Raw genomic sequence first — 12521 nt, 5'->3', positions numbered from 1 at the left:
AATATTTAAATAAATATCTGGCCTAGTTCAATGAGGATCCTACAAGGAATACACACATGTTGTAGGATTGTTGCAAAGCCAGTCTTGGAGATGACAAAGCTATAGAGATACTCATCAGAGGAATAATTCAAGCTTAGCCTCTCAGTGGTGTACCTGTCAGATGGGGGAGGCTGAGACAGGAGCAAAATGATTTGACAGAGTATGTTACTTCATCCAGTGGAAGGCTGAATCAGGATAAAGTACATTAAAGTCTCTAATGTCGTCCAGAAAGTCGACAAGTCTGAGGCAGTGTCTGCATCTGTGCAAAATAACTTTAGTATGGTCGAGTTTGAAGTGATGGTGGGGTGTACCTGTGGCAAATCAATCTGTCCCTGAGCACACATTGTGTCTGTTTGTAGCCAGGAGTCTCAGACATTGCACCGGGTACTGAAAATACACATGTTAAGGAAAAGAGGTGGGACCCCATTTCTCCAGGAGCCTTAAGATCAACTAGAAGAGGTGGATATGAAATCATGCAAACATATAATTACAAACCAATAACTGCAAGGAAGGTCGCTCACCAGTCCTGCAGGAATATAACAGAGGACTCTGAATGAGGCTGCAGGGTCGGGGGCAGACACCTGAGGTCTCTGAGCAAACCTCTGATAGGTGAACACAAGCTGGCCAGCGGGAAGGGGGGCTCCGCAAGGCCGTGCCCCCAGAAGCCATGAAAGGTACAAGGTAAACTTCAGCAGGTGGGAGCAAGACATACCCAGATGACAGTGAGAAGCCAGGCAGGCTGGCAAGCTGGGCCAGAATATGGTGGCAGCAGATAAGGCTGCAGCAAGAGGCGGGGCCAGATGACTCAGGTCCTTGGGGATCCTCTGGGGTTTGTGGGTCTTCATTATAAGGACAAACTCTTGGGCTGGATCTCTGGCGACAGGCAGAGCAGAGGATCTTGAGGCCTAAAGGTTAAGTGCGCAATTAAAGCGAATAGATTCTTGGAGAACACACATGGATCTGTATTAGCAAAACACGAAAGATGTGGCATTAGAGAAAAAAGCTAAAGAGCAGAAGGCTTAGCAAAGAAAAACAGACTCTGGCTCCGGACTAAGGGCTGTGGCACTTGCTGAGAAGCTTGAGGCAAGCTGTGCCGCGTTTCTGCCCTGCATTTCTTCTGACGTGCAGTGAAGAGGTGTTAGTGTCATTCATATAAGGCCTTTCAGAGTATTAAACGAGCTAATAGATAGTAGACACTTAATATAGGTCCTGGCATGTTGGAAATACACACACACACACACACACACACACACACACACGTATATATATTGAGACAGGGTCTTGCTCTGCTGCCCAGGCTATAGTGTAGTGCCACAACCTGACTCACTGTAGCCTCTACCTTTCAGGCTCAAGTGATCTTCTCACCTCAGCCTCCCAAGTACCTGCGACTACAGGTGCCCGCCACCACGCCCAGCTAATTTTTGTATTTTTTGTAGAGACAGAGTTTCGCCCTGTTGCCCAGGCTGGTCTCAAACTCCTGGGTTCAAACAATCTCCCCACCTTGGCCTCCCAAAGTGCTGGGATTACAAGTGTGAGCCACCTCGCCCGGCCATGTAGCAAATATATTTAATTGAAGAAAAGGAAATGAAATAGTGAAGTGAATGGAAGGATGGTGAGTCAAAAGGTAAGCTACATTAGGAAGAGAGATTTTTTTCTATTTTGTTCACTGCTCTATCTATCCCCAGGACCTTGAAGAGTAACTGGCACAAATGGACACTCCACACATACTAACTGATTAAACAAGTTAATAAGTAAATGAACAGAATTAGGACAGTTTATCATAGGAGCTAATGAAAGAGGGAAGTTCAAAGATGATTATATTATGTCAAATGTCAAATCCATGTTTTTCTGCATTTTACATATATGATCTTGCCCTGGCTCTCCATAACTCTGGCAGATGCTGGAGCATTTTTCTATTTTGCAGGCATAACGAGACACAGTAAAACAATCCATTTACTCAAATATATGGGCCAGTTGATAACTAGGCTCACTTAAATTCAGATTTCCTAGTGCCTGTGATCCTAAGGAAAGGCCCCTGGCTTCTGACGTTGGGGGTCACTGTGGTTTTCAGTAGGGTGTGACGGAGTGGGCGAGCTCACTTCTTCCCCTGCTGGTCCTAGAGTTGCTGAGCTTAAACTGTTTTGTCTCTGACACTGGTTGACTAGGAATGACATCGGTACCATTGTTCTTAGAAACACACATTTCCCTTACAGCACGTCCATGCAGGTAAGTTGTGGACTGGATTATATCCAGATGTCATTGTATTTACAAATGCTATGTGGAGTGCCTCGCCAGGCAGTTTCTGGTTTAATGGGAATACTCTAACTTAAATTTGTATTTTCTCATGAGCTTTCTTTTGGCGTAAATAAAGCACCTCTTGGTTTATGCCAATACGACCAAATTCTAATGCACCCCACTCCTTAATTTATAGGCTAACTCCACCCTGTGACTCATTTACAGGTTGCAGAGTTGCAAATCTTTTAGCTAATACCACCTGCAACCATCCTCCTTCTCTAATATTCCTCTTCAGTTGTGTCCTGCCTTCTGTGACATCTTTAAAATATGGGATCTGCCGTCATCTGACCATTATTCCTCCCTGCTCTTTTTTGTAATTTCTTTGGTATCATGGCTTTGGGCTCCTGAAACCATTTCTTCAGGACAGCAATATTTTCTTCCCTACTTTGAACCCTTTTCACAGAGTTTCTCAGCTCTCCATGGCCAAACCCTTTGCCTCAGCTTTGGGGATTCACAATCTCCTAGCTCCATAGCCCCCAAATCAGCCCAATTTGTTACCAAAAACCAGGAGTTCGGTCTAGGTCCTGCTGCTCTCCACACAGAAAGCCAATCACTGAGACAACGATTATTGCCAAAGAAGAAGCTTTTAATCAGGTGCTGCAGCAGAGGAGATAGGAGCTCAGTTTCAAATCCATCTCCCTGACTGACTAAAATTAGAGGCTTATATAGAGGCAGGGAAGAAATAGCACACTGTGTGGAAAAAGAGGAACTAGGGAGGGGTAAGGAAGCAATCATGTTGAATAAGCGGACTGGACTGGCATCTCATTAACTGGTTGAGATGACCTGGGGTGATCCGGTAAGTTTCAGTTCTTTGTTACTTTACTTTTCAAGAGGGCTGGTGGTCCTTTCCTGAGGAAGGAACTCAGATAAAACAAAAGTAAGTTTCAAGCTCTAAGACCAGAAGGGTCAAATTCTCTCTCTCTCTCTCTCTCTCTCTCTCTCTCTCTCTCTCTGTGTGTGTGTGTGTGTGTGTGTGTGTGTGTGTGTCTATAGGACTATTGGGTTGGCAAATTCACAATGCCAAAAATAAAAGCACAGCCCTCAAGACTAGCAGCCGCTGACTCAGCATTTCCTCCCTGCTTCTGGCTTTAAAAGGACCTCATTCACGCAACTGAACCCTGCATTTTTTTCTCTTTTTCTTTTTTCTTTTTTTCTTTTTTTTTTTTTTTTTTTTTTTTTGAGAGAGTCTTGCTCTGTCACCCAGGCTGGAGTGCAATGGTACGACCTCGGCTCACTGCAACCTCTGCCTCCCGGGTTCAAGCGATTCTCCTGCCTCAGCCTCCTGAGTAGCTGGGATTACAGACACATGCCATCACGCCTGGCTGATTTTGTATTTTTAGTATGACTGGATGTGGCTCCCACTCAGGTGGCAATGCAGGGAAAGAGATCATGGCTAATTTTGTATGCTATGCCAAACAGTTTAGTCTTTATTGGTAGGCAATGGATATCAATGACACTCACAATTATCACCACTGGATGTGGTATATAGACCCTACTTTTCTCTTTCCCAGTGGTTGCCAGCATTGACATCCTGTGGATTACTGTGAATTAGAGGCTTTGTCTGTCCGAATGATGCTCTAGGGTGGCTGGGGTGGTTGGAATGGGACAGCAAAGTTGTGGGGTTTTCTGATAGCCTTTGGAGGCAGCCCAGATCCAACTGTATTTGCATAGATCGCATTGTTCCAGCTGATAAATGCACAAACACCCATAGTAGGCCTCTCTAGCCACTTCTCCAAGGAAAGCCCACAAAAGCTCTCCAATGAGTTTGAAGTGATCCCTCAACACCCCCTTGCTATCTCTATTCTGTGTAAAATGAGGAGGAGAAAGGCACTGAGGCATTTTTCCAGATATACAGACTTCTGCAATGAATCTGCAATGAATGGGCTAATATGGATCCAGTGTTCCATATTGTGTTAAATCCGTTTGTGTAAATCCTATTGTGTAAATCAGTTTGATACAAAAAATACGTATTGGCTCTTCATAGTTATATGACATGCGTTAAGAATGTCTGTGAATTCAAGAATCTTCCGCAAACACACTCCATAGCACAAGAAGACAAAATGCCATGAGTTATAAAAGAGTATTTTCTCCTGCTTTATATAAGATTTAAAGAAAGATAAGAAGCATATATATTTGATTAATTGATGGCAGGGTAGGAAGAAAAGCAGGAACAAATCTTCCTAGATGAAAATGCTGATAAGAAGTACCAATCCACATGGCTCCATCTCCAACACTCTCCCAGGGCCCTTGCGGAACGGCTTTCCTTGTCAACTCCCTCTCCCTCTGACCTTGTCTACCACTCAGCAGTAGAAGTTCTCTTCAATTCGTGTATCAGGTCTCTCCCTCATTTGTCCCTCTTACTAGCTCCTGAATTACTTAGCAGAACCAGAAACTTTGCATCATTCCCATAACTAATATTTACACGTTTCCTTAGATGCCCTTTGAACTAGATTCCACTAATACAATCCCCGCAATTTCCGTAACTGTCTTGAAAGCAGTGCATTAAACTGAAATTCAGACAATGAAGCTGCAGCTGACCTGCCTTCAGACAATAGTGCTCTAATGCACCCTTCCTCTGACCCTGGTGCGTTATGTAAGTCTTTCTGCCTATGCCTTCTGCGACGAAAAGGGTCCTTTTATAAGGCTTATATAAAGCATTATACATGGAGTGTCTGGAATCTAATACACACTCAACAAATGCTCATCCAAACCCTTGGCTTCCCAATCAATTAATCCACATGGAAGAAAGAAAAGCAAATGCAAATCTTTGGGGACATATTTTTTGTTTAATTGTCTGCAGGGCTAATTCTTCTGAAGTTTCCTTATTTCCATTGTGTGTTTTACCTGGAGATATACGGAAGTGAGGACTTTCTCCCCAATTAGGTGCCAGGAGGTTTGTGAAGATAACAACAGATTATCTGAGAACTTTAAGATGTGGCTGACTGAGAAGGAATAATTGTTGATTTCTAGATTGGATATTTACCTTTTGTGGCTGGTTGTTTCAATTAACTCACCAGTTTTATTCAATTATTGGATTCCAAAGAGTTGTTCTAAGTTAAAAACAACCATCTTGCCCAAGATTGTCCTTGGACATTGAGGGCCTAACACCTTCTGGTTATGGTTGTGTACATGGCTGATGTTCCAGGTACCCTTTGCCGGGTGCTCTCTCGAGTCTAAGCCTTGATGGTTTTGCAGGCCTGAGCACCCTTTTATCTCCATTTTCTCAGCTGTTGCTGATGAGCACAGAAGTTTTGTTATTTGGCTCACGCCTATAATCCCAGCACTTTGGGAGGCCGACACGAGTGGATCACGAGGTCAGGAGTTCAAGACCAGCCTGGCCAACATAGTGAAACCCCATCTCTACTAAAAATACAAAAATAAACCGGGCATTGTGGCGGGAGCCTGTAATCCCAGCTACTCGGGAGGCCGAGGCAGGAGAATTGCCTGAACCCGGGAGGCGGAGGTTGCAGTGAGCCAAGGTTGTGCCACCTCACTCCAGCCTGGGCGACAGAGTGAGACTCCATCTCAAAAAAAAAACAAAAAGAAAGTGGATACATAATCTTTGCTGGCTAGGTCATGCCTGTCTCTGCAAACATGCAGATATTACAAGAGCTAGATTTGTGATAAGCTATGAAAAGACCACCCCAAACAATGGACTGTTATACAATCCATAAAGGGTGCTTTATTCATTTTTTTCCTTTAATTTAGCAGGAGGAGAAAAGAGCTATGGTAGGAATTAACTGAAAAAGTAGCTGCAAAATAGCCAAGATTCAGGCTATATAAAATTTGCTGCAAAGAAAGCCAAGATACAGGCTGTATAAGTAGTAACCCAGTTGTTCTACCCCATATGTGGGACACAAAGAGTTTGGAAGGCAAGACATTAGGTTTGTAACTCTGAAAGACAGTTCTATGACTATTTAAAAAGATGTACTTTTTTCTGCACTGTCTTTCCTCCTCCAAATTTTCTAAAAACTGTACATATGAATCATATTATCTTGAAAAAATGCATATTGGTTAAATCAAACATCAATAGATCATAAATCCTGTCAGACTATAACATGGTGTGATTCACTGTTGTATCATAATGCCTGAATGAACTGCAGGCACATGGTAGGTATTTGTTGAATAAATGAATCATAAATAACCAAACAAAATATGTGATTTTTTGTTTTTATACATTTATTTATTCAACGCTTTAATATTTTCTCTTAGACTAAAATATATAAATTTAACTAGAAATATTAATAAATTTGCTCTTCTTAATTAGACTTCTATACACTGGAATTAAAAAAAAATCCTGCTATATTACGAATGGGTTGAAAATCTTTTCTTTTTTAGGCCGGGAGTGGTGGCTCATGCCTGTAATCCCAGCACTTTGAGAGGCCGAGGCAGGAGGATCACAAGGTCAGGAGTTTGAGACCAGCCTGGCCAATATAGAGAAACCCCATCTCTACTGAAAATACAAAAAAATTAGCTGGGCATGGTGGCGCATGCCTGTAATCCCAGCTACTCAGGAGGCTGAGGCAGGAGAATTGAACCCGGGAGGCAGAGGTTGCAGTGAGCTGAGATCATGCCACTGTACTCCAGCCTGGGCGACAGAGCGAGACTTCATCTCAAAAAAAAAAAAGAAAATATTTTATTTTTTAACTTCTCTTCTAAAACTCAAGCCTAATAGCCTCTCAGACCAATTTATATATTGCATTTTCTTTGTTAAATTGACAGATTTAAATTTAGAATGATCTTTGCTACAGATTGCTTTAATTGAATGAATTAATTAATTTGTGTTCATAATTTTTTCCATTTAGCCACGTCTGTAATTAAGGTATGCAGAGGAAATGCCATTCAGCAAAAAGCACCTGTTAAGTTTTCAGTCAGAACGGCTCACTCACCCACTCAGTGTCTGCTTGCTGGATTTTAGAGAAATCTCCATTTGTTTGATTCAGATTTTAGTTCAACATTTTTGGGACCTATCTTAAGTTAAATTAAAAAAATAAATCCTTTTCAAAAAGAATGGAAGAATTGCATGTGTCCATGTGTCTCAAATATTTTATCATCATCTAAGCCCCAGTGGGCAGGGTTGAATCTCAAAAGGTTGATTTGATTGTTTTCTGACTTGATTGTCAAATTATAGAATAATATCTGGGGAACAAGTTTCTCAGAAGGGCCAGGTCCCCAAGAAACCCAAGGCTATTGAAAGGAGAAGTTGGCTTTACCCAGTGTCAGACACCGGCAGAAGATGGCAAATTTCAGATCTCACAATGAAAGCACAGTAAGAGTTTGGGTTACAGGAGGGCACGGGTAGACATTGCCTAGAGCAGGGGCCATTTAGCGCTCTGGACGCCGGGAAAACAGACAGGTAGGGGGAGTTCATGCAGAGAAGAAGAAAATCAACGTGGTGTGTATTTTACTGTCAAATAACATAAATGTCCTTGTTTTGATTGTGTATGTTAGATTCTAAAAATACATCGACTTCAATAAATTATTCATCATTATCAAGGCAATTTTAGCCTTTGCAGATTCTCTATCTTTATGGAAACAGTAAATGATCTTGCCTAAATTATAAAACTGTAATAACAGACAATTAATCAAGAGTTCTCGAGAAGTCAAAAGGCCATTTAGTTTACTCTGGGCAAGATTGCATCTAAGAACAACAACATTCTTTTTTTTCTTTTTTTTTTTTTGAGACAGAGTTTTGCTCTGTTGCCCAGGCTAGAGTGCAATGGCATGATCTCGGCTCACTGCAACCTCTGCCTCCTGGGTTCAAGTGATTCTCCTGCCTCAGCCTCCCAGGGAGCTAGGATTACAGGCATCCGCCACCATGTCTGGCTAATTTTTGTGTTTTTAGTAGAGACGGGGTTTTACCATGTTGGCCATGATGGTCTCAAACTCCTGACCTCAGGTGATTCACCCTCTTCGGCCTCCCAAAAGGCTGAGATTACAGGCGTGAGCCACTGCCCCCAACAACAACATTCGTAATTATTTTTATTTCAAAGAAAGCTACAAAGTTAAATCTGAGGTTACCCTTGTTGCCCTAGAGCTAAAGCCAACCCAGTCTTTTGGGAAGCATTTTTTTTTTCCAGCTCAATGTAATTAAAGTAATTCTAGCACTTGGAAATAGTCAGTATTTAAGTAATCAGGCCCAGAGCACCTGTAATCCTAGCACTTTGGGAGGCCAAGGCAGGAGGATCACTGGAGCCAGGAGTTAAGGGCCAGCCTGGGCAATATAGCATGACCTCTACCTCTACAAAAAATATGTGGATATATAATTAACCAGTCATGGTGGCACACACCTGTGGTCCTAGCCACCCTGGCAGGAGGACACTTGAGCCTATAAGTTTGAGATTACAGTGAGCTATGATTGTGCCACTGCACTCCAGCCAGGGCAACGAAGCAAGACCTTGTCTCTTAAAAAAAAAAACAATCAGTATTTCAAAAGGTGGTGAGCTCTTCATTACTGAAAGGATTTAACCATGAAGCGATGATTATACAACAGTTCATTTTCCTTGTGCATTTGGATATGAATTGTGGGAGGTACTTTAGAAAACTAGGATCTGAGCCCAGTGTCCTGTAAACTTAGCCTATTGTAATAAAGGGCTGTTTTGTTTTCACTGTGGTCTCATCAAGGAGACCCTCATTGCGCTCCATGTTTAACTTATTTTTCTGTGGATGTTCATTTTAAATTGAATACCATGGTCATATTCTTATAAAATACTAAGTGAAAGCCAAAGCAAAAAGGAACCATTTTCCAAGAAAGCATTGTTGTTTTACCAAGAGTATTTATTATTATTATTATTATTATTATTATTATTATTATTATTATTTGAAACGGAGTCTCGCTCTATCACCCAGGCTGGAGTGCAGTGACGCGATCTCGGCTCATTGCAGCCTCCGCCTCCTGTGTTCAAGTGATTCTTCTGCCTCAGCCTCCTGAGTAGCTAGGACTACAGGTGCCCCCTACCACGCCTGGCTAAATTTGGTATTTTTAGTAGAGACAGGGTTTTACCATTTTGACCAAGCTTGTCTTGAATTCCTGACCTCAAGTGATCCACCCGCCTCGGCCTCCCAAAGTGCTGGGGTTACAGGCGTGAGCCACCGTGCCCGGCTGAATAAATAATCTATGTGAATAAATCAATCTATGTGGATCAAATAACAATTTTCTCACATCTCTTAGTTTTCGTTCAGTGTTTTCAAGCCAGAACTGCTGGAATATTTTGCCTTCAAACCAACATATACTTAACACTTTTATCTTGACTCTTATAAATTCTGAGAATGGCAGAAGAGTAGTTAGATCAGGCCTAAAGAAGAAGGTGTTATCTGAGCAGACTGGAAGGACATGAGAAATGAGCCATACAAAGCTGTTCAATGACAACGTTGCAGGGAACTAAACATGCTAAGGAGAAAACGAGGCACGTTTCAGGTAACTTGAAGAATACAAAGGAGGCGGAAGCACTGGGTGCAGAACGGACCAAGAAGAAAGTAGACTAAGAGTTTGGTGAGGCTGTGGGAGGAGAGAACAAGCAGGGCTGGGTAACCTGTCAAGGCTTTGTTTTTGTTTGTTGGTTGGTTGGTTTTTTGTTTTTGTTTCTTAAGCTTTATTGAAGAAATCAAGTACTATATAGTTCAATATATATGACACATTCAGTATTATACTCTTTTTAGCATGTGCAATAATGTTAAGATATTATTTTCTCTTGATATAATTATTTCCTGGCTACATGAAAATAATATTCCCAGTGACTTGGCCAAGAATGAGAGGAGAACGTAGAACAGAGCAGAAATAGTGAATTGCAACAGACATGAAGAACAGAAACAGCAAGTCAACAGAACGTCGATTCTGACAAAGCGGAAACTGCAGAGGTGAATATGTGGATTGTCTGGTCACAATGTTTTCTTCCTTTTCAGGAACAATTCACAGTACATCTGTGTTCACTGCAAAAACTCTCCCGTGTTTTAAAATATTCTCTTTGACTGCTTTCTTGAGTGGGGCAGGCTGGACGTGGAGGTGCTTTAACGAAACTATTGCAACAATCTAGATAAGAGATAGTGGTGCCTTTTCCAGGCAGCAAGCGATGGTGGTCGTAAATGGTGATCAGATCAGTTCTGAATACATTTTCAGGTGGAGCCAGTCAATTTTGCTGAAAAATTGGACATTGGGTTTGAAAGGAACAAGAGTCAAATTCAGAGTTTCTGGTCTGAGCAAGTGGGAGGATGGAGATGGGAAGGCTGCACTGAGGGAGGCTGGGGTAGTCAGGAGTGCTGGTCAGCTAAGTTAGGTCTCGTTAAATTGCAAATGCTGACTAGTCATGAGTGAGCATTTCACATAGGGCAGTTTTTACAGGACGCTTCTGTTCAAGCTTGAGACATAAATTTGAGGGCTGAGAGCAAAGTGACAGCATTCAAGTCAAGAGACTGCCTGAAACTGTGAAGGAAATGAAGGTAGATTGAAAGACACGAAGCCCTGTACAAGTGTGAAAAACCAGGGCTGTCGCTGATCTAAGAGAGTATGTAGTTGTGGATATTAAGTGACCAGTGGATCCAGGAAGAGGGAGGGATCAATGGTGCGATGATGCCACAGATGAAGAGGATCGGGAATGCGATGGGTGGTTGGAGGGCAATGCCAGCACAGCTGCGCCGTCTGGGGCAGTGGCAAGAAAAACATCCTGATCATAGTGCATTCCAGCGAGCAAGAAGGCAGAGGACGAGGAGCAGCAGGGAGGGACAGTGCCCTCCAGAAGGGAAAGCATCGGGAAAAGGGAGCAGAAAAGTGCAGGTAGTATTCAGAGAACAGCAAAGCCTCTAGACATTCTTCTCTGTTTTGTCTTTTTAAAGTGGGGGAGAGAAATCCAGCCCATTGACATGCTGAGGAAATGCTTTGGCAGAAAGGGCACCATGGGTGATTCAGGCATGAAGCTGAGAATACCCAGTGAAGGAGAGAAAAAAAGAATTTCTCTTCTCGACTTTCATTAAATTCACTGCTAGGACAGATTTTCATGAGCAAAACGCAGATCACCAAGAGAAAAACAAGCATGTTTATTTATGCATGTCATGCCCATCCACAAGAAAGAAAGCAGCTCTCTCAGGAAAACGGCTCACCTAGATTGTTGCGACGGTTTGGAAGCAGTGGCTTTGAGGCCTTGCTGAAATAGTATCTTAGCAAGGAGCCATACATCCTCTACGGTGACAAAACAAAAAAAACGGCATCTTCAGGCTTCCCAAAAGCAAGACATTTGGGAAGGAAAATTTACAGGAAGAGTAGTCTGTTCCGAGATCCCTGGCGTTGCTGTCTGAGCTGAGAAGCAAGCATTATAAAGGAGACTGTCTTCAGGTGGGAAGAGGCAGAGGGGAGGCAGGAAGACCTTTGTCTTTGTAAATCTTGGTCCTGCCTTCAGGAAAGCAGAGGAAGGGGCAGGTCCCCTGTGTGTTCGTCTTCTTCAGCTCAACACTCCTGAGTCTTTTGGATAGGAATAGTTTTGCCTCTGTCACCTGCAATACCTTTCCAGTGTGTAGGAGGTTATGGCGCCTAATGCCCAGGTGGAAGGATTTGCCTTAGACTTGGACACAGATAGTTTACTCAGAGGAAGTGTAGGGAGTAGGTGCACAGGAACAAAAGGTAGTCGATGGCAGAATTTAGTGGCCTGAGCTTGTGGATACTTCCACTGAAGGATTTCAGGATCTTCCAGTGAAATAAGTCTCTTACTGAGGGTACAGAGCAACAGGGATGTGCTAGACGTTCGAAAAGAGAGCAACATAAGTGAAATAGTCACTTAGGAGATTGGAAGAGTGAATAGATACGGGTATTGATAAAAACCAAAGTCTGTAACAAATATTTGAAGAGGTTTATTCTGAGCCAAATTTAAAGACCATGATCTGTGACAGTCCCAGGAGGTCCTGAGAATATGTGCTTAAGGTGGTTGTGTTACAGCTTGACTTTATCCATTTTAGGGAGACATAAGACATCAATCAGTACGTGTGAGCTATGCGTTGGTTTGGTCTGGAAAGGCAGGACAGCTCCAAGAATGGGGGAAGGTTACAGTCATACGTGGATGCAAAGACTTTTTGATTGGCAACTGGTTGAAAGAATTAAGTTATTGTCTGAAGACCTGGAATCAATAGAAAGGAGAATCTGGGTTAAGATAGGGGGGTTGGGGAAACCAAGGTTCTTATGATGTAGATGAAGTCTCATATGT

General features: G+C 42.5%; 1 annotated feature.

The window, feature by feature from the left end:
• Positions 542 to 1106: a transcriptional cis regulatory region, noted in NCBI's record as "candidate enhancer chr1.12967 targeted for multiplex CRISPR interference". NCBI's record gives its function as "positively regulates TRIM58 gene expression with high confidence in K562 cells {active_cell/tissue: K562}" and the evidence as "EXISTENCE:mutant phenotype evidence [ECO:0000015][PMID:30612741]".

This window comes from Homo sapiens, chromosome 1, assembly GCF_000001405.40.
Source record: "Homo sapiens chromosome 1, GRCh38.p14 Primary Assembly".
Lineage (NCBI taxonomy): Eukaryota > Metazoa > Chordata > Mammalia > Primates > Hominidae > Homo > Homo sapiens.
Note: the sequence above shows the minus strand (reverse complement) of the source record. Positions and strands in the feature narration are given on the sequence as shown.